Genomic DNA, 21,055 nt, shown 5'->3' with positions numbered 1-21,055 from the left:
TAGCTGGGACCACAGGCACCACCGTGCCTGGCTAATTATTGTATTTTGTGTACAGACGGGGTTTTGCCATGTTGCCCAGGGTGGTCTCAGACTTCTAGGCTCCAGCCGTTCACCCACTTCAGCCTCCCAAGGTGCTGTGTGTACAGGTGCGAGCCACTGTGCCCAACCTGCATTGACTTTTTAAAACATAAGTTCAAGCATCTCTTCCTAACTCCTTTAATTGGAGGTATCTCTTCTCTCATTCTCCTCATCTTTGGTGTTCCCCCAGAGTTCACTGCTGTCTGGATGTACAACATATATTTCAAAGTCAAGGCTGGGCTGGGTGCAGTGGCTCACGCCTATAATTGCAGCACTTTGGGAGTCCAAGGCAGGCAGATCGCTTGAGTTCAGGCAAGGTAAGGCAGGCTCCCAAGGCAGAGACTGAGGCTGACCCCTGCAGCCCCCTACTGCAGGGAGGAACACCGGGATAGGCAAGGGTCTTAACCTAGAAAGCCCCAGCAGTTCCTGTGACCATCGAGACACCATTGAGGCTTGGCGGTGGTGGAACCCAGGAATGGTCTTTGAACCCACCACCTGGAAGGGGAGCCAAGGATAGTCCTGGCCCAAAGGCTCCCCTACCTGCAGGCAGTGTGGAGGCCCAGTGAGTGGACCCCAGGAGCCCAGACCATGAGCTTACCTGGCCAAAGACAGCAGCCAGCACCAAGACACGAAAGAGGGCGGGTAGAAAGATCATCACATAGGGGTTGACGGCGGCCGGCACCAGGTTCCTCTGTACTTCTGGAACACACAGGCCCCTCCTTCCTATCCCTGAAGTGCCCCTGCCCCTACCCCAGCACCCTGAAGACCAGCCCAATATATGCATTTGTCCTGGGTCAGCCCCACTGTCCAAGCAACTGCAATTTCTCACTAGAGAGCCAGGGCAGGGCAGGGTATAGGAGGGGTCCCTGGAAGATGCCCCCCAGAATGCCCTGATGCCTAAAACGTTCCCCGTTGGGCCTTCTCAGGGAGGGAGGGTTAAGACAGCCTTGTTCTCTCCAGCTACCTCCATCACCACTGGAGCCCTTACGGGCGTCAGGGGAGAGAATTGGCTCACTGGAGCCAGGAACAGCATGGACACAGCCCTGGGGCTGAGGCTAAGTGGGCTCTGGGAGACCGTCACTCTCTCTTCAAGCTTTGGTCTCCTGGCCCTCTACAAGCCAGGCTGTTTCAGGCTTTGCGTTAGGCCTTGCTCAGAGACAGAGTTGAAACACAGCTGGTGGACACAGTGGGCTTTAGGGAGGTGGCACGTACCTGGGGGTGGGGGCTGGGTAACAGGGAACGGAGGCCCTGGGGCTAGCATGGCCTGTCTGGAGGTGGCACAATGGGACCTGCACCACATGAGGACAGAGGGTCCACCTGGAGGAGTGGATCAGCCAGATGGCCACCAAGCTGGATGGCCACCGCCAGAGCCTGCAGGACAGCAGAGGGGGCTAGGAAGGGACAGAGGACAGCTGAGGGGCAGGGAATGTGGGTTCCTCCATACAGACACTTGAGTCTTCCCTAAGTGGGTCTTCCCCATGGGGGTGAGGGGGCATTCAAGACACACCTCCAGCCCACCTCAAGCTATCACAGGAGGCCACCACCAACTCACACAGGCCAGTTGCATTCTCACAGTGACCCCAGAACAGCACAGCCCTGTCTTTCAGATAAATAAATGGAGAGAGTGATGCATATCACAGCCAGGAGCTGGGACTCAGACCCAGGTCCAGCTGCAGTGCTGCCTCAATGGCTCCACCTGCACCTCCTCCGGGACTCAGTTCCTGCTAACAAATGAACACTTGAGTATGGGTGAAATAGGTGCTATTATCCCTTCTGGCTGCTGGGGAAAGGGAAGCAAGGCACAGATGACTTGCCCAAGGCCAACATATCATGACTGGTTCAACCCCATCTGTCTCGGCCAGCACATCCCCATGGCAGAGGCTTTACTGTGATCCAAACCTGGAAGGTGGCACTCCTTCCAATGTCCCACCCAGGGCACAGAGCATGCAGCCCCATGTTTGGGGAGGTGACAGGGTGGGGAGGTGACAGTGTGGGAAACAATCTGGCTAGGCGAAGGCCTCATGGAGCCCAGGGTTCCCTAGGACCAGGAGAGCTCTGGAGCCCACACTGACACCCACTGGAAACCTGGAATCTGCACCTGCAGGAGATCGGGAGAGGGGTTCGGCCTCCGATGCACCTGCAGCAAGGTGAGACAGGCACAGGTGGGCGCCCTGCTTCCAACCAGTGTCAGGTGGGCAGGAAGCAGATCTCCTCCCTGACCTTCCTCTCCTGCCTCCCCCAAGCAGAGGAGAAGGGGCAGCCGCCCATCAGGCCATTGCCCAGATTGAAGCCACTGAAGCTAGGTCCCAACAGGTGAGTGTGACCCCTGACTATCCCAGGCCCGGCCCAAGGCAGTCATGTCTCTGGTGAGGACCTGGTAGACAGATGTGATGTCCCCAAGTGGTTCTATAAACCTTTTGAGGATAATCAAGGAAATGGGCAAGAACATCATGCTCAGCCAAGAACCTGATAGGCACAAGGGGGACCAGGGCAGGTAAAAGTCAGTTTGGGTTCAGGCCTGGCCCCTGGAAGGATGGTGGATGAAGAGCCAGCCACGGTGAAAGGGAATGGATGGCCACGGGCTGGGTGGTCAGGACTGTCAGCTCCTGCAGCCCCTGCAGAACATCCGCCCAGGCCTGGCTCTGTGCTCAGCGTTCTGCGTGGAGCCACAGGTGCCTGGACACCGATCTCAAGTAGGGATGGTGGTAAGAAAGGTACTTGTGGCCACAGGTGGGCACCTAAGCATGGGACAGAGGGGTATCATGCCCCAAAGAAATCATAGAGGCCAAGAGCTTAAGCATATGTGACACCATCAATAAATCCCCTTGTCCTGGGTCACGTCAATTAAGTCAGAGCCTACCCTGACCCTGAAGCTGCAGCTCAGTCTGGTTGAGACACACAGAGATGTTAGTGCTGGGCAGGGGGCCTGGCCCAGCCTGCGATGTCCAGCAAAGCTGTGGGCTGGACAAGAATCTCTGAAGATTAGTCCAGGACAAGGACAGCTGTGTCTGGGCAGGGAGTGGGGGCAATGCCCAGGGGGCAGGAGACCTGAGGACCTTTAGGTAGGATGCCAGGTCAGGACGTGCAGAAGAGAAGGTGGCATGGCAGCATCCTGCCCGAGGCCAGGCTATAAACCTCGGGGCCGCCCCGTCTAGCCTAAACCATGCTGACACCCAGATGCCATCCTTCAAATGTGAGGCAGGGCTGGGAGAGCCCCCAGACCCCTCATCCCTCCCATCCCAAGCTGGTTCCCATCCCTTACCAGAAGGAAAGTGAACTCTTCTATGGGACACAGCCTGCCAGGTTCTCTATCACCTGGGGGAAGGGGCTGGGGGAAGGGAGAGCTGCAGCTGGGTGAGAAAGAACCCAGGTCCCACTCTTTCCCTATCTGACAGGTGACCTCCGGCAAGCTGCTTTCTTTGCCTGGGGCTAAGGAGAGTCACAGGGGAGCGGCCAGGTTAAGAGGGCTCCACCTTGGAGCCCAGAGCTACCCACAGAGAAAACCCCCCATCCTCCCAATTCTGCTCCCAGCTCATGCTGCTGGGATAACATCCCCCCCATCAGAGAGGCCGTGGGAGGCAGAGGCTGACCTTTGCTCCTTCAGGCCCCTCAGCGGGTTTGGGTCCACCTTCATCATGATCAGGGGGCGAGTCCCTGGGATTGCAAAGGTGAGGGACAGCTTCTTGGGCTCCAGGTGCTCCAAGGGAGACCCTGCAGGGCACCAGAGCTAGAAGAGTGTTAGGGAGGCTGGGTGCAGTGGCTCAGGCCTGTAATCTCAACACTTTGAAAGCCTGAGGTGGGCGGATCACGAGGTCAGGAGATCAAGACCACGCTGGCTAACACAGTGAAACCCCATCTCTACTAAAACTACAAAAAATTAGCCGGGTGTGGTGGCATGCACCTGTAGTTCCACCTACTTGGGAGGCTGAGGCAGGAGAATCACTTGAACCCGGGAGGCAGGGCTGAACAGTGCTAGGACCTGAGCTCTGCCTGGCCATGGTGACTCTGAGCCACGTAACCCTACGTTAGTCTCAGTCTGTCACTGTGTCTCACGGGGGATGTCAGCATTACTTTTGGAGTCAAAGTAGGTAAGCCAGGGTAACCAGAGTTCCCTGCAGGGACCAAGACCAAAGGATGCAGGGGCTGGGCCTATCCCAGAAGGTCAGGCTGGACGAGGGGCTCCATGAAGTTGGGGCAGCTGAGGGCCTGCCCTTCAGGTTACAGGCATCTGGATCCTGGTCTAGACCCTCATATGCCATCCAGAGACCCAACCCTAGGGACCCTACCCAGGCTGGTAGCAGAGAGTCGATCCTTGTACTCACCCCACCAAAAGCTCTGAAATGAGGGGGCCTATGGGTGGGGGAAAGACTCTTCAGAAAAAGGTTCTCAGGGTCAGGGAAGGTTTGAGCTGGGCCTTAGGGCAGCCAGAGAGGCAGGTGACAGGTCTCCTCACAAAGCCTGCCAGAGAATGCAGGAGGAACACAGGTGTAGTGGTGAGAGTGTTCTGGAAGACAGCAGGAAGCCTCCTACTCACTGATGGGGCTGAGTGAGGTCAGGTCCACACACCAGGAGAAGCTGGAATCCACACACTGGTGCACTTTGTTTCTTGTTTCAGAGGCAGGGTCTTGCTCTGTTGCCCAGGCTGGATTGTGGTGGTGCAATCACACCTCACTGCAGCCTGGACCTCCTGGGTTCATGCAATCTTCCCACCTCAGCCTCCTGAGTAGCTGGGACTACAGGTGCATGCCACCATGCCTAATTTTATTTTTTTCGAGACAGGGTCTGACTATGTTGCCCAGGCTGGTCTGAAGCGATCTTTCCACCTCAGCCTCCCAAAACACTGAGACTACAGGGACAAGCCAGTGCTCCTGGCCATGCTGGTGCATTTTCTGCCATGGTGCACAGGAAGTATGAGCTGGGGGGCAGAATCTGCTCCTGGACCTCTACCCAGGCCTGCACCCAGACTGACCCCTGGGCTGTAGGGAGCAGGTGTGGAGAGAATGCAGCGAGCAGTACGGGTTACCCAGTGATGGAGACCCAGGCTGGGACTAGGAGAGATAGGGCTCCAACCCTCAGCCTAGTGGCCCTGCCCAACCCCTTGGCGCCAAGATGACTTTCTAGGAAGCCAGGCATGGAGGCCAGCATGCACCTGAACTGAGGACAGAAGATTCTGATGAGAGGGAGGGGGAGGCCTCTGACATAGTTTGGATACTTGTCCCATCCACATCTCGTGTTGAAATGTGATCCCCAGTGCTGGAGATGGGGCCTATAGTGTGAGGTGTTTGGGTCATGGTGGGGGATCCCTCATGAATGGCTTAGTGCCCTCCCCATGGTAATGAGTGAGTTTTCTTATTTTTTATTTTTTTATTTTTTGAGGCAGAGTCTCGCTCATAGCCCAGGCTGGAGTGCAGTGGCATGATCTTGGCTCACTGCAACCTCCACTTCCCAGGTTCAAGTGATTCAATGAGTGAGTTTTCTATTAGTTCACAGGAGAGCTTGATGCCTCCTCTCTCTTGCTTATTCTCTCACCATGCGACATGTCTGCTCCCTCTTTGCCTCGCACTAGAAGTAAAAGCTTCCTGAGGCTTCACCAGAAGCCTAGCAGATGCTTGTACAGCCTACAGAACTGTGAGGCAAATAAACCTCTTTTATAAATAACCAGTCTCAGTGCCAGGAGTGGTGGCTCATGCCTGTAATCCCAATATTTTGGGAGGCTGAGGCGGGTGAATCACTTGAGGTCAGGAGTTCAAGGCCAGCCTGACCAACCTGGTGAAACCCTGTCTACTAAAAATACAAAATTAGGCGGGCATGGTGGTGCGTGCCTGTAATCCAAGCTACTTGGGAGGCTGAGGCATGAAAATTGCTTGAACTGGGAGGCAGAGGTTGCAATGAGTTGAGATCACAACATTGCACTCTAGCCTGGGCCACAACAGCGAAACTCCATTTCAAAACCCTGTCTCTACTAAAGATACAAAAAATTAGCCAGGCATGGTGGTGCATGGCTGTAATTCCAGCTACTCAGGAGGCTGAGGCAGGAGAGTAGCCTGAACCCAGGAGGCAGAGGTTGCAGTGCCCTGAGATTGTGCCACTGTACTCTAGCCTGGGCGACAGAGCTAGACTTCATCTCAAAAATAAATAAATAAGCCAGTCTCAAGTATTCCTCTAGAGCAATGCAAAGCGGACTAATATAATGTCTACTGGACCTGACACTCAGGGAAGGGCTGGTCTTTACTCTGCCATTAACAGCCAGACTATGACAGAGTTGTTCCCCTGCTCTGCCTCAGTTTGTCCTCTCTCAGCTGAGCAGAGCAGGGATAATTGCTTCTCATGTGGGCCACAGGACAAAACAAAGCCCTGAGTCCCACAGGAAGATAGGTGGGCTATGTCCAAGGGAAGACAGAAGTGGGGCAGTATTTTATGTCCCCAGGGTGGCAGAGGGACATGGAAAAGATGCCTCCTTTGTGGACAAAGGAGAAAGGAAGATAAGCAGAGAGGCGCCAGACACCCGCCTCACCCCCACCTCCCCCACCCCACACCAGGCCCATTCCCACTCAGCCCCCAACTCAGGCTGCACCATTCCCCTTACGGTCAGCATGACTTCCCAGCCAAGCTGACAGAAGCTGACAGCTTGGATTCATCAGGGACAGCGCGTAGTGTAGGTGATGTGCAGGATGGAAGTGGAGAGGGGAGACGGGAGCCGTGGTGTCAGGTCTGGGGCTGCCAACATGGTACCTGCCCTGGCCGTGGGCAGACCATGCTGGTCCACCCTGCCAGATGTGGCCTCTAATTCTAAGGTCTCTGAGTTCCAGGCCAGGACTGGAGCCATACTCCCCTTGGGGACAGGGGACACAGTACACATAGACATTACTTGTGCTTTGGGCAAAGCCAGCTGGACAAATGAATGAAAGGGGCCCTGCTGGAGGGTAAAACTGGGCCTGGACTACTCAGACCTGCCTCTGTGACAGGACGGTCCCATCCTTCCAATCAGACTCCTGAGCTGGAAGCCTACCCAGCCAGGGAGTGGGGAAGGGGTGGCCTGCAGTCTCCCTTGAGTCTGTAGCCCCTCCCACCCAAGTCAGCTCCATAAAAAAAGATGCAGAAACCCCAAGTGCTCCTCCCAGCTGCTGGCTGCTTCCCGGCATGGCCTGAAGGACCCTGGATGAATCAAGACAGGCCTGCCAGCAGCTGGGGGAAGGGGGAAAGCTGGGTCCCCAGGGTGGATGCCTAGCAGGAACGTGCAGGCATGGCGAGTGATGGGCCCTCAGGGCTGAGCCCCTTCTGCCCAGGGGACCTTGGTGACACACCTGCTGCTGAGCTCAGCCCAAGGAGTAAGAGCCTGGTGCCAAGTGGCCTCTCTGCTTATGAAGACAGTCCTGGGATTGTTACCCCTCTGCCCAGGGCTCAAGTATCCAGGCTGGGGAAGGGCCAGCAGTCAGAAAGAAGGAGGCCGTGGGTGTGGGTCCCCTAGCAGTCAGGGGCCTTGGTGGACTAAGCCCCTATGAGGGGGATGAGAGGGAAGGGAGACTGAGCTGTACCCCCTACCCTGAGATCTGTGGTACCAGGCTCCAGAGGGGGCCCCGGGGGGAGACCAGCATGACAGGAACTGCTACGATGCCTTTGGGCACCTACTCTGCAGGGCTGGGCCAGCCTGAGGTTGGCAGCAGAGGGGTGGGCCAGGGGCCACAAGGAATGAAGCTTTGTTTGGTAGAGCTGTGACCCTCTTCATCCTCTTCTGACCCCCCAGCTGACCCTTGTCCTCAGATCTCTGCAGAACTTTGACCAAGCGGTGGTGGAGGAATTCCAGTGGGTCCGGGGTGGCCCTGGGTGACCCAGGGCTCATACCGGGGTTCTGGGGTTGAGGACAGGAGGCTGGAAGAGATGACCTCCCCTAGTCCCCCAAGGCTGCACAGACCCCTGAAGTCTGTGATAATCCTCTCAGCAGGCTGGACCCACTGACCGCCAGAGTGGGTGCCACCTTCTTCAGGGTGGCGCCAGCCCAGGCCGTCATGTGGCACTGTGCACGCCAGGGCCTGCACACCCTGTGGGAGGCAGCGGGCGTCTTGGTAGACATGGTCATCCTAGACCTCGGTCAGTACCTCCTTCCCTCTGCAGGCTGCCTCCCTCTGTCCCTCTGCCTCCTCCCTTGGGCTCGCTGCCTCCACATGCCCTGATCTGAAGCCTGCCTCCCCTCCTCATGGAGCCCTCTAAGGTGCTCCTAGCCCCAGCTCTCTGGTCCCGCAGCAACTTCTGGGCCCAGATTCTGTCTTCTCAGAAGTCTGAGAGGCAGAGCCCCGCCTGGCCATAGCCTTCTTGCTCTGCTCTAGGCAGTCCTAGCCCCAAAGCCTCCAGCCTGCTGGATGCCTTTATCTCCAGCTATGCCATGGCTCTCCTCATCCTGGGCCTCCTGCTCATCACAGTTGCCCTTGTCCTGGTGAGTGTCTGGCTTGGCCAGGGCTCCTTCCTGAGTGGCAGGCTGAGCCTTTGACGCCTTGAGCCTTTGAGCCAAGCTGAGGGGTGAGCAGGCCCCTTTACACCCCTGATTTCCCCATCCAAGCCCAGCGTCTCCTCATCCTCCAGCTGGGGCCGTGGGATTTGGGGCCAAAGAGTTGGGCCTGATCCCAGTGTCCCCGCCCTTCTTGTCAAGGTGCTAAACTTGAGGGCATGCCTTGGGTGCTGACTTTCCCAGGAACTCAGAGCCAGAGAGGGCCAGGCACCAGCCTGAGGCCAAACAGCCAGGGGCTTCTTCCTTCCTAGACCCCCAAGGACTGGACTTGCAGGGCTGGGACAGAGGTGGGGTGGGGGAAAGCAATGCCTTGTCAACCCATGCAGGGAGCCCCACTCCCATCCCCAAGGTGCACAAAGTCGAGAAACACCCCTGTTCCCATGTCCATGCTCACTCAGGGCCCTGCTCCAAGTGCTTGGCACTCACACCAGCCTCCTGTCCTCCATGCCACAGGTATCGGTCTCATTTACAGAGGGGGAAATGGTGGCCAAAAGCCTCCCCCAGCACACACGGCTAGACCACACAGAGGTCTTAGGTGCAGCTGAGGGGTCCACAGTCTCTGCTGTCCCTTCTGCCACTCGTGCTGCCAGGGACCACGCTTTGGAGAGGGAGGAATGAGAGTGAGCTGGGTGCTCACACATGGGGCACGGGGGACTAAGGAAGGGTCAGCCAGGAGGAAAGGGCAAGGTCTGATCCTGTACGTACACATCACAGAGCGCGCGGGGTCAGGAGACCGAGGGCCACGTCCCGGCTCTGCGGCTGCTCGGTATGTGACTGCGGTTAAATTGTCTCCCTGGACTCTCCACGCACTTTGTGTGCTGCGTGCACCTTCTAGGATGAGCCCGGACCCTGGCTGGCCTCATACTTACTGCGTAGGCTGCAGACCCGCAAGTGCTTCTGCAAGGGGCTTTGCTTCTCCTCATAACAGCAGCACGGGCTGGCCGCGTGCTCTGGGGGTAGAATGGAGAAGCTCTGGAGGTAGCAGGTGGGGGCTGGGCTTGGGCTCCTGGCCCAGACAGGGCAGGGTACACCTCAGGGTCACAGGGCCTGGCCCACTCTCTAGCAGCCCTTGGCCCACAGGCTGCCCAGCTGCCCACCCACAACCCGTACCTTTGGGCAGCCCCAGCTGCTGCAGTTCACTGGCCAAGGATTTGCCATCGACACTGTGCTTGGCCGCACCGGAGAGGATGAAACTCAGCACTGCCACTGTGGCCTTCACATCGCCTGACTCTCAGGGACCCATGCATGGGACAGGGGGTGTCACTGTGGGCCCAGCCACCTCCCTGTTGCCCTATTAACTTCAGCTCAAAGCCCCCAGGCCTCCTGGAGCCATAGGCACTGCTACTGCTCCACCAGGAGCTGGCAGAGGACAGGAAGGTGGGACTGTCAATGTCTTTCTTTCCCTCATGCTCCTCCACTAGGGAAGGCAGGTTAAGGATACTGCTGGGATGTGTGTGTTGGCGGGGGGGTGGGGGGCGGGCTCTGTACCAGGCACCAGGCCGAGGTCCCAGGGTTGCCTGGGGCCTGTGAACTCAGCGGGGTGCTCACCAAACTTGGCATCAGCTGTGAGTTTCAGGATCTTCTTATACTATGGGGAAAGGAGACCTTCAGGGGGTGCCAGGTCCCTGCTCACCAGCCCCTCACCCCCAGCCTGGATCCTGCAATAAGGAACAGACAGGCTGGAAAGAAGGAAGGGAGGTGCCCAGAGAGGTTGAGAGGCTGGCTCACCCGTCTCCCCGGGCCTAGTGCAGAGTTTCAGGGCAGTGGTGGTCATAAGGTCATGGGACAATGGGGTGCTGGATCTTGTACTCACATCAATTCCCTGTCCCAGCAGCTCCTTTAGTACCTGGCTGCAGAGCAGCTGCAACTTCACAGAGGACTGGAAAGGAAGTCCTTACATCAGCCAGGCTGGCAAACCTCACCCCTTCTTCCTGGGGACTGGCTCAAAGCAGGCCAGCCACTGATCAAGGTCACAAAGCATGGTAGCACAGGCTGAGAGCACTGAGGCCCTAGCCCCAGAGAAACCTCACCATCCTCTACAGCCACAATCCCCAGCCCAACACCCCTCCTCCACCCAGTGTAGACCCTGTGCACTCAACCATCTTGGCCAGCGTGCTGATCTCTGCCAGGACCCGGTCAGGACAGTCCAGATCACCACAGAACCGAAACCTCTGCAAGGGAGGGAGGCAGGTAATCAGGCTGGAAAGAAGACTGAGGTGTGGCCAGGATCCCTGTGTCTCCCACACTGCTGCCCAGCAGGGACCCCTGGTCCCCGACATAGATGGATACCCTCTGGCCACTTGTTCTCCCCTATCACCAGGCTGTTGAGTAAACTCTACCTGACCCACCCTGCCACCAAACCCTGCTCTGAGGTCTACTCCAGGCATTCATCTGCTCAGCAAACATCAATTGAGCACCTTCTCTGTGCTAGCTCCCACTCTAAGTGCTGGGGGTACAGCATGGGATAAAACAAAGTCCTGGGCCTCACAGAGACGAGTGAACTCTCTCCCTTCTTCCCCATACCCACACAACTCCAGCCACTCCAGCTTCCCTGCTGCAGCTCAGGGACACCAGCCTTGCTTCCGCTGCACTCTCTATGTGGCTTGCTATCCTTTATTTCATTCCACTCTCTGCTCAAGTGACACCTCATCAGACCAGCCCTTCTTTTTTTTTTTTTTTTTAAAGACGGAGTCTCGCTCTGTTGCCCAGGCTGGAGTGCAATGGCACAATCTCGGCTCACTGCAACCTCCACCTCCCGGGTTCAAGCAATTCTCCTGCCTCAGCCTCCCAAGTAGCTGGGACTACAGGCATGCGTCACCACACCCAACTTTTTTGTATTTTTGGTAAAGACAGGGTTTCACCGTGTTGGCCATGCTAATCTCGAACTCCTGACCTCAGGTCATCTGCACACTTTGGCCTCTCAAAGTGCTGGGATTACAGGCGTGAGCCACTCCACCCTGGCAGGCCAGCCCTTCTTGATCATACTTCCTAAAATAGCCCCTAACACAAGGAAATTTTGGGGGCCGGTGGATATATTCGTTATCTTGATTGTGGTGATCCAACAGTCAGGAAGATTTGGCCTTTACTTGTCCAGACTCATCTTTCCCTAACCTCCAGATGATACTCTCCCAGCTACGGGAAATGCATTCATTCCTGGGGAGCCATGCTCTCTCTCACCTGAAGTCTCTGCACATGCTGTTCCCTGTCTGAAGACACACGCCTCCCACCGTTGCCTCCCAACCCCTGGTACACAAACTGTACTTCAGCCAGCCAACTCCTGCCATCGCCTTTAAGGTTGAAGGCATCCTCAGGAAGCCCCCTTAGCACTACACACAAGGCGCAGTTAGGTCTCTGCCCCTGGAGCCTTAACTATGACTGCCAATTCAAGCCTCTGATTTCCCCTTCCCGCGGCAGCTCAAGTCCTCCCAGTGCCTAGTACAATTCATGGTATAGACTAGGCACTTTGAACCTATGGATGGATGGATTGGATGAATGGATGGATAAGTATCAGCCCCAAAACTACTACTTTCTGGATCTGAAAAGAGCGGAGTGGCTTCCTAACAGTGTGCAAGAGTGAGCCTGATTCTAGCACTTTCCTGTCCAAGTCCCACAGCAGGGCTGGGGAAGGGGGTGTCCTTGGGAGGTCCTTTTGGAGCTAGAGAAGACCTGAAAGGACTCCCAGCTCCAGACAAGCCCTAGTTCCTGCCCCAGGAGTCAGGGGCCCTTCCTTCCGCCAGGGAAGCAGGGAACTCTAAGCCGGCCGGCCTGCTCTGTCTTACCCGCCCCACTCGGGAGAGGGATGGCGGTGGACTTTTCTCTACCAGACCTGCTGCCCTGACGCCCGCACACACTGTGTTTGCGGAGCGGCCAGTGCAGACAACCTCAACCCGTTTCCGGAGCCACTGGCGCCCCCTCATTCCCGCTCCAGCAGCCCATGTCCGCTTCACCCCTGGTGCCTCATCATCGCCCGGGAATTTCTTTTTCCGGTCCCGCCAGGTCAGCTGAGTCGACGATCACGTGACTTGGACTAACGGCCTCTGGCGGGGCGGGGCCTGCTCGAGTGAGGCCGGGAGCGGACCGCAGCCCGCTGGAGGTGCCGGGGGCGAAATGCTGGCGTCTGCTCCTCCGTCTCCCAGAATCCTGCCCTGGAAAAAACCAGCGCCAACCGCCGGTTTAACTGAGGACGGATTTAAGGCATTACGAAAGACAGTGGAAGTTATTTCTTTTACTTTTATTTTCGTTAACTTAAGGGGGTAGGATCCCGGGAGCCAGGGAGATTCAGGTCATTGCCATGTTTTCCACTGTTAAGCGAATAGCATTATACACAGCTGCGGGCTGTGGCAAAAAACATTTTAAAAACTTTTCAAATATATTACACATACAGAAAATTGTACCTATTAGAAATATAAAGCTTAATAAGTTTTCATCAACTGTAGACCTCACATAACCAGCACCCAGATAAGGAAATAACCAGGTAACTTCTTCAAGTGCATGGGTATTTTATTTCATTTTGATGAATCGTCTAGGTGCCTAGTAAAAAGGGCTGTCATAATTAACATGCTCAGGAAAACTCCCCACAGCTTCAACATCAATAGATCTTATCTTAATTTTTGCCAGTCTGATGGGTAAAAAAAAAATCGGTTGCTTAGATTGCAGTGGTAGTCTGATTACTGGTAGCTTTGAGCTAATGGGTAGTCTAGAACAACTAAGTTTCCGACGTTGACTTGAAGAGGCAAAAACAAAAAGACAAAACAACAACAAAAATACATTAAAGAATAAACTAATAACCAAAGAAGAAATTGAATACAGTCGTCGCTTAGTAACCTCAAGATACTGGTTCCAGGACCCCAGAGATACCAAAATTCACAGATGCTCAAGTTCCTGATATAATGTGGCATAGTATTTGCATATAACCTATGCACATCCTTCCGTATACTTTAAATCATCTCTAGATTGCTATAATACCTAATACAACATAAATGCTTTGTAAATAGCTGATATAAAGTATTTTTAAATTTTTGTGTTTTTTTATTGTTTTACTTTTTCCAAATATTTTTGATGCACAGTTGGTTAAATCCAAGGACCCAGAACCCGAGGATACAGAAGGCTGACCATAGTTTGAGCTCTCTCCTCAATTCCATGCCTATCCCATGCACCAGGTGCAGCTGGTTTTATTGTTGCAGGCTTTCAAGTTTTCAAAAGACAGACCTCATGACAAGTAAACTGCTCTATAGAATAGAAATAGAAAGTGTCCCAATTCATGGTAAAATTGAACTCATTTCTGAAGAGTTATTTTACAAATCATAAGCACTATCCTCTTGAAAGCAACAGTGTGTTAAGTTACTAGACTATCCTATACCATGTCAAAGAAAAATTTTAAGAACATAAGACCTGTAATCATAGCACTTTGGGAGGCCAAGGCCAGTGGATCGCTTGAGCCCAGGAGTTCTAGACCAGCTTGGGCAACATAGGGAGACCCCAGTCTCTACAAAAAATTAGCTGCTTGTGCTGGTGCACACGTGTCATCCCATCTACCTAAGAGGCTGAGATGGGAGGATCTCTTGAGCATGGGAGGTGGAGGCTGCAGTGAGCCATGATGGCGCCACTGTACTCCATCCAGCCTGAGCAACAGAATGAGACCATCTCAAAACAAAAAAAGGAAAAGAAAAAAAGCTGGGTGCGGTGGCTCATGCCTGTAATCCTAGCACTTTGGGAGGCCGAGGCAGGCAGATCACCTGAGGTCAGGAGTTGGAGACCAGTGTGGCCAACATGGCAAAACCCGTCTCTACTGTAAATAAATAAATAAATACAAATTAGCTGGGCATGGTGCTGGGTGCCTGTAATCCCAGCCTCAGGAGACTGAGTCACAAGAATCGCTTGAACCCGGGAGGTGGGGGTTGCAGTGAGCCGAGATTGCACCACTGCATTTCAGTCAACTTGAGCAACAAGGTGAGAAAAAAAAAAAAAGATGTAGGAATGGTTCAACTTTTATTTCATGCTGTCAGTAGGTTAAAGAAGAGAAAAATGGATAGTTTTGGGACCATTTTTTATTTAAAAAGAAAATTAGGAACAGATGAAAACTGTCTTATCTTAAGAGTATTTGAAAAACAAAACAGCAAATTTAACATTAGACAGACAAAATATTTAAATTCAGAAATAAAGTTAAAAGGTGGGTGGTGCGCCCTTTTAATGTCATACTGAGCATTGTTTCATAGATACTTGTTTTACTATTAAAGATTGACTATTTAGAGCAGTGTTTCTCAAACATTAGAGTGCATCCTAATCACTTGCAAGGCTTGTGAAATGGGCTGCTGGGCCCCACACCAGAGTTTCTAACTCAATAGGACTGAGGTGGGGCCTAAGCATTGCATGTCTGTGTTCCCAGGTGACGCTGGTGCTTCCAATTTGAGACCATGGTTTGAAAACCACTAATGTAGGGAAATATACTAGAGAATATGTTATGAATATATGTGAGAATATGTATATATGTTAACTTACAGATTTCAGTACAGTAGAAAAGATAACTCCCAAAGATGACAGTTTTATTTCCCAATAGGATTTTTTTTTTTGAGTCAGAATCTTGCTCTGTTGTCCAGGCTGGAGTGCAGTGGCATGATCTTGGCTCACTACAGCCTTCACCTCCCAGTTCAAGCAATTCTCCTGCCTCAGCCTTCTGAGTAGCTGGGACTACAAGCACCCACCATTGAGCCTGGCTAATTTTTGTATTTTTAGTAGAGACAGGGTTTCACCATGTTGGCCAGGCTGGTCTTGAACTCCTGACCTCAGGTGATCCACCCACCTCAGCCTCCCAAAGTGCTGGGATTACAGGCCTGAGCCACCACGCCCGGCCTCCCTTTAGGATATTAACAAGTTTTGTCTCTATCTCAGAATGCATTTCGGAATGCCCTTCCTGGAGCACTACAGACACTGTCTCTCAAAACGCTCCTTGAACTAGCTTCACCGTGTTGCTGACTCCCTTGTAAATTAAAGAAAATATCTTATACGTATTCCTTCATTATTTGTATGAAAGTCAAGCTTTTCATATTGTGAAAATTATACTTCAGGCTGGGTGCAGTGGCTGACGCCTATAATCCCAGGACTTCTGGAGGCCGAAGTGGCTGGATCACTCGAGGCCAGGAGTTTGACACCAGCCTAGCCAACATGTCGAACCCCATGTGTACTAAAAACAAAATCAAAATTAGCTGGGCATTGGTGGCACACACCTGTAGTTCCAGCTGCTCGGGAGGCTGAGGCACAAGAATTGCTTGAACCCAGGAGGCTGAGGCTGCAGTGAGCCAAGGTTGCCATGAGCTGATATTGTGCCACTGCACTCCAGCCAGAGCCAGAGTGAGACTCTGTCCCAAAGAAAAAAAAGAAAGAAAATTATACTTTGATACAGTATGCTAATATAAAGGATATGATATGGCTTGGTTCTGTGTCCCCATCCAAATCTCACCTTGAATTGCAATAATCCCCACATGTCAAGGGTGGGACCAGGTGGAGATAATTGAATCATGGGGGTGGTTTCTCCCATGCTGTTCTCATGATAGTAAGTGAGTTCTCACCAGATCTGATGATTTTATTACAGGCTTTCCCCTTTGCTCGGCTCTCCTTCTCTCTCCTGCTGCCCTGTGAAGAGGTGTCTTCTGCCATAATTGTAAGTTTCCTGAGGCCTCCCCGGCCATGCAGAACTGTGAGTCAACTTAAACCTCTTTTATTTATAAATTACCCAGTCTTGGGTATTTCTTCATAGCAGCATGAGAATGGACTAATACAGTGTACTAATAACAGCCCAGACAGTAGTATACAGGTACTACTATACTTTGATGCTAGAGGTATTCCCATTAAGGTCAGGAGCAGTATGCGCTATCATTACCATGATCTAACATTGTTCCAGAGGGTTTTAGGTCAGCAGTTCTCAACTGGAGGTGATTTTGCCGCCCTGGGGATATTTGACAGTATCTGAAATCACTTTGGCTGTCACACTGAGGAGTGCTGCTGGCATGTGGCAGGCGGAGGCTGGGGATGCTGCTAAACATCCTGCGAGGCGCAAACAGCTCCAGAACAGAGAACTGTCCAGCCCTAAACATCAACAGTGCTGCTGTGGAGAAAGCCTGGTCTAGACAAATAAAACATGGGAAATCCATTAACATAAATGTGGGTGGATAATCAACTGGCATTTGCCAATGGCAGTCTAGCTAGGAGGTCCAAAAGGAGCACCTGAAGGACAGTTAGATTTTGCAGGGGCTGCATGGTGGCTCATGCCTGTAACCCCAGTGCATTGTGAGGTCACATTGGGAGGATCTCTTGAGGCCAGGAGTTCAAGACCAGCCTGGGCAACATAGTGAGACCGCATCTCTACTAAAAATTAAAACATCAGCCAGATGTGGTGCTGCGCTCTGATAGTCCCAGCTGCTGAGGTGGGAGTATCGCTTGAGCCCAGGAGTTGGAGGCTATGGTGAGCTGTGATCATGCCACTGTACTCAAAAAAAAAAAATTTTTTTTCTCTGTTGCATATGGGGTCTTGCTATGTTGCCCAGGCTGTTCTCAAACTCCTGGCCTCAATCAGTCTTCCTGCCTCAGCCTCCGAAAGCGTTGAGATTACAGGCGTGAGCCACTGCCCCTGGCCTTACAAAATAAAAATTAAAAAAAGAAGTTACAGGATGTTATGTGGCCCGTTGAAAGATGTTGGAAAACAGTTGCGCATGTGACCCCGCTATAACCAGTTATAAAAGTATCAGGATTAAGAAATGTACTGCATCTGGCTTTCCCAAGTTTAGGATCCTGCTGAAAGAATGAGATGGATCTTTTCTTCCTCCGCTCCTCACCTCCCTGCAAGAACCAGGACTGTGCATTTTGACGGGCAGGCTCTTACCCCTGGCAGGCCACAGGGGGCATGCAAAGCATTTCCGTGTGTGTTTTCTGAGTACTCGGATAAAGACCCCTGTCCAGGCCTTTGTTTAGGATATTTGGCCCATGGAGGAATGAGGGTGGAATCACCTGGGAGGGGCAGAGGCTTCGAATGGAAGGAGGAGTGACCTGAGCTCCAGGTTCTGGGCCTACACTTTGTTCCCATGCAGCACCCCATTAGTGGTGACTGGGGCCTGGAAGTCAGGGACCTTGGTGGCCAAGTGTTAGGTGGACAGGAGGAGCTGAGGGAGGTGAGGGGCATCTCTCCAGGACCGCCCCCCGCCCCGTCCCCAAATCAATGCCCTCTGATGGCTCAGACATAGCCCCGGCCAGCAGCAGTGTGGGTCAGGAAGGGCGAATGCAGTCAGCACGGATCTGCTCCATAGTCTCCACCTCACTTCATCTCAGTTTGGAAGGTGTGAGTCCCCGCAGCACTGATAGGATATCCTGTCAGCTGAGAACATTCAGCTTGATTTAGAAAGATAAGGTGGGACATCTCTTGGGCATGGCATGTGGAGCAGTGCCATCCCTCTGTGGCAGCGAGCCAAGCAATAAACCAGAATGTGCAAAACCTGCGTCCCAGAATCACCATTCCCGGAGGAAAAGCCTATATTGTCAAGATGCCCACTCCTAAATTAACCCAAACATTCCACCCAGCCTCGAAAAACCAGTAGAACTTTGACATTAATACACTAACCCTCAGGTCTATACAGAAACGTGTAAGAATGGCCACATAATATAACGTGCGGTCATTGAGAGAGAGGAGCCCATCAGAACAAATGGAACCAAGTCCAGAAACATGTCTGTCTAGGGGCAAGTTGCCAGCATGTGTGTCAGCCAGGGAAGCAGACCAGGGGGAGATATTTATTAAGATTTAAAACGAGGCTCTGTAGCTCAGGCCTGTAATTCCAGTACTTTGGGAGGCTGAGGTGGGAGGATCGCTTGAGCCCAGGAGTTTGAGGCTGCAGTGAGCTATGATCATGCCACTGCATTCCAGCCTGGATGACAGAGCAAGACCCCATCTCTTAAAAAAAAAAAAAGTGTTCAGATGCACCCTTACATGAAGCCACCTTTGGCACAGCTTCCAAGACTGGTGAGGCCTCACTCGGGACCAGGGGGCCCAGCCCTAGCTCAGTTTCCACCACCTGAGTGGCACAGTGTCCTCAGTCCAGTCTCTATTGGGTCTCAGATCCCCCAATCATGCCCCTTCTGCCCAAGCTCTGCCTCATTATGGCCTCCACTGACCGCAGCCTCTTCCACCTTCCCAAAGGGACCTTTAATCATGCTCTCCAGCCCACAGGAGTGCCTGCTTCTTCAGGAAACCCACCCTGCTGGCTCTGGGCTCTATGTAGGAGAGCTGGAAAGGCTGGATCCTGCCACTGAGTTCAGTCTCGGGGGTCTCCACCCATGCTAGGCTTCCACTGATGGGACATAAGTGGCCAGGGGTGTTCTTTACAACCACACAAGAGCCACATGGTGACCAGGAGTGGGGTTCTGAGAGGTTAAATGACTTGCCCTGGGCCCCAGAGCTGGCTAGAATTCCTGCACTGCTACAACCAAGGCCACGTTTGGGCCTCCCACTCGGAGACCCGGAAACCCTTCTCCATCTACCAGGCTGGGAAACACATGTCTGCTGCAGCTTCCTCCCAGTGACTTACAGCAGCTGCAGATTTCTGGGGGGCCTTCTACAGGGCCCACCGCAGCAGGGAGCCAAGAAGTCTTACAGAGCCCCGCATTCTCTCTCTGCCCGCTTCAGCTCCGGAATCATATACTAGCTGCTCTGATTAAGAACAGGCCTTGGTGAGGGTGTTGGGGCTCTGGTCTGTAGCTCAGGCCTTCAGGAATCAGGTGATGTCAATCTGGAGAGGAGGTACCTGCTGGGGGAAGCAACCATGGGCCAGGGCCCTGGCCCTTTGCAGGGGCAGCCCCTCTTCCTTCCCAGGGTCCCCTGAGAATCTGAAGGCATCCAGGGTAAAGCGCAGTGTTCAGCTATGTCCTGAGGTCCAAGAAAGCCAAGAAGAAGTTGCTCTACCTGCTGTCCACAAGGCACCCCATCAGAGAACATACTCAGCCTACCCCGGCCCAACACCAGATCCCAGGGACTGATCCACCTGTAAGAGGGCAGCATGAGACTGCCCCCATTGTCCCCAGAGAGTCCCCTCAGTCATGGGCTCTGACCATGGTGCAGGTGGGCCCAGCAGGCTGGCCCAGCATGGGTGTGGCTGCCCATTGGTCCTCTGAAGAACCTCAGGGGCTTGTGGCAGCAGGTGTATGTCTGGGCTTGGAAGTAGAGGATGTCCCCCAGCCAGAAGGCAGGGGACACTTGTTTTGCAATCCAGTCCTCTGCAAGGACAGGGACCCCAGGCTCTGGGCACCCCAGCTCTGCCTGCCCTACCCACTGCCTACCACTGTTCGATCCAGGCAAGTCACCCTGGCTCCCACAGAGGGAGCCACCCTTCCCACCTCCTGATGTTTGCCCGCACCAGTCAAGTTCCATTCTGGAAAAACCCTCAGCATCCTTGGGAAGGCACCTCCTCCTTGACTCCTTTTCAGAGCTATCATCCCCACTTCCATTTTCCACCTATCATTCGATGCAGAGACAGCTTCTTCCCTGGGCCAGGGCTGCTCTGGAGGCAGGGAGGTCATGGCCAGGCCATGGGGTGTAGCAGAGCACCGGGTATAGACCAGGCTCTCCAGGTACACCTGGGCAGAGAAGTCAGAGGCCTACAGGTGAATGCCCCTCCTTCCGGCCCCACCCACCTCACAGGCAGAAAGAGGGAGGCTTCACAAGGAGGTTGAGGTAAACAGGAGAGCCCGGGTCACCTCTGTCTGATCTCCTGCCCTCCTGGGAGAAAGTCAGAGGTCTGAGCTGGGAGGTGTCGAGAGCCCTGGCCCCATCCTGGTTTCACTGATGAGGCTCAGGGAGGGGCGGGGTCAGCCCAAGTCACTGAGTCCATAAGGGAGGGTTCTGACCATAACCCAGGACCCTAGATCTAGCTGAGGCCGCATGCCTTTCCCATATAGACCAAGGTAGGGCTTCTGGCTTCTAAGGCCGAGGCCCAGCACACCTCTCCCTCCCCTTGCCTGCAGCTGTTGTCACACATCAGAAGTGAGTTTTTCCCCAAGGGGCTGGAGGCACAGCTCCTTGGGCTGGACCAGGTGGCCAATCCAAACAAGTACCTGTGTGTCCCCACCAGCCAGGACTTCTCACGCCACGCAGCAGCTGGGGGTACCAGGATACCCTGGTGGATTCCAAGGATGAGCCCTCCCTGAGGCTCCCACAGAAGCACTGCCGCCCCCAGACCCGCCAAAGCCCCATGTCCATGCAGCCCTCAAGAATCTGGCCCCTCACACACACCTGCCCCACTCCTCCCACCTGGCTTTCCTGTGAAAAGTGGAACTGGTTCCACCTGGGCCAGCTGGAGAAGGGCCTCAGGAAATTGCCATTTTGGGAATTCATTCTAATCATCCATTCATTTATTCACCAAATACCCACTGTCTACCTTTCTGTACCAGGCCAGGGGTGATGGGTCAAGTGGAACACATGTCCCAAGGAGTTTTCCT

The 21,055-nt window shown here is 53.8% G+C and overlaps 1 protein-coding gene and 1 long non-coding RNA gene across 3 annotated transcripts in view, besides 2 other annotated features; one reads left to right on the top strand and one right to left on the bottom strand.

Annotated features, from left to right (window-relative positions):
* Nucleotides 1-32: 32 nt before the first annotated feature.
* Nucleotides 33-20,810, bottom strand: LOC112268145 (uncharacterized). The gene is made up of 14 exons (XM_024450114.2): nucleotides 20,733-20,810; nucleotides 20,023-20,194; nucleotides 19,738-19,834; nucleotides 19,366-19,447; nucleotides 12,660-12,758; nucleotides 12,361-12,582; nucleotides 11,759-11,950; nucleotides 10,681-10,752; nucleotides 10,395-10,460; nucleotides 10,130-10,169; nucleotides 9,692-9,811; nucleotides 9,451-9,531; nucleotides 677-777; nucleotides 33-573 (listed from the first exon to the last, which is right to left on the bottom strand). Exons 1-14 carry the CDS (start codon nucleotides 20,808-20,810, stop codon nucleotides 217-219), a joined length of 1,779 nt encoding a protein of 592 aa, XP_024305882.2. The 3' UTR covers nucleotides 33-216.
* Nucleotides 1,746-2,628: an enhancer, noted in NCBI's record as "H3K27ac-H3K4me1 hESC enhancer chr15:72939289-72940171 (GRCh37/hg19 assembly coordinates)". NCBI's record gives its function as "activates a minimal SCP1, AML or CMV promoter by ChIP-STARR-seq in naive H9 embryonic stem cells {active_cell/tissue: H9 hESC(naive)}" and the evidence as "EXISTENCE:reporter gene assay evidence [ECO:0000049][PMID:30033119]".
* LINC02259 (long intergenic non-protein coding RNA 2259) overlaps nucleotides 12,621-21,055 on the top strand; it is a 28,475-nt gene continuing 20,040 nt past the window's right edge. For both annotated transcript variants that reach the window (NR_135685.1, NR_135684.1), the window contains exons 1-2: nucleotides 12,621-12,790; nucleotides 16,170-16,238. This is a non-coding gene — a long non-coding RNA (long intergenic non-protein coding RNA 2259). The remainder of the gene's footprint in view (nucleotides 12,791-16,169; nucleotides 16,239-21,055) is intronic.
* Nucleotides 20,342-20,934: an enhancer, noted in NCBI's record as "H3K27ac-H3K4me1 hESC enhancer chr15:72920983-72921575 (GRCh37/hg19 assembly coordinates)". NCBI's record gives its function as "activates a minimal SCP1, AML or CMV promoter by ChIP-STARR-seq in primed H9 embryonic stem cells {active_cell/tissue: H9 hESC(primed)}" and the evidence as "EXISTENCE:reporter gene assay evidence [ECO:0000049][PMID:30033119]".

This window comes from Homo sapiens, chromosome 15, assembly GCF_000001405.40.
Source record: "Homo sapiens chromosome 15, GRCh38.p14 Primary Assembly".
Taxonomy (NCBI): Eukaryota; Metazoa; Chordata; class Mammalia; order Primates; family Hominidae; genus Homo; species Homo sapiens.
This window is presented reverse-complemented; position numbering and strand designations above follow the sequence as displayed.

What these genes read in the sequence shown, in the direction of transcription:
- LOC112268145 (XM_024450114.2), bottom strand. Translation starts at nt 20,810, where the DNA reads ATGGGGCTTTGGCGGGTCTGGGGGCGGCAGTGCTTCTGTGGGAGCCTC. An exon ending in GGCACCTCCAGCGGGCTGCG is followed by an intron (nt 12,583 to 12,659) that starts GTCCGCTCCCGG and finishes TCGTCGACTCAG; the next exon opens with CTGACCTGGCGGGACCGGAA. An exon ending in AGCATGTGCAGAGACTTCAG is followed by an intron (nt 10,753 to 11,758) that starts GTGAGAGAGAGC and finishes CCTCCCTTGCAG; the next exon opens with AGGTTTCGGTTCTGTGGTGA.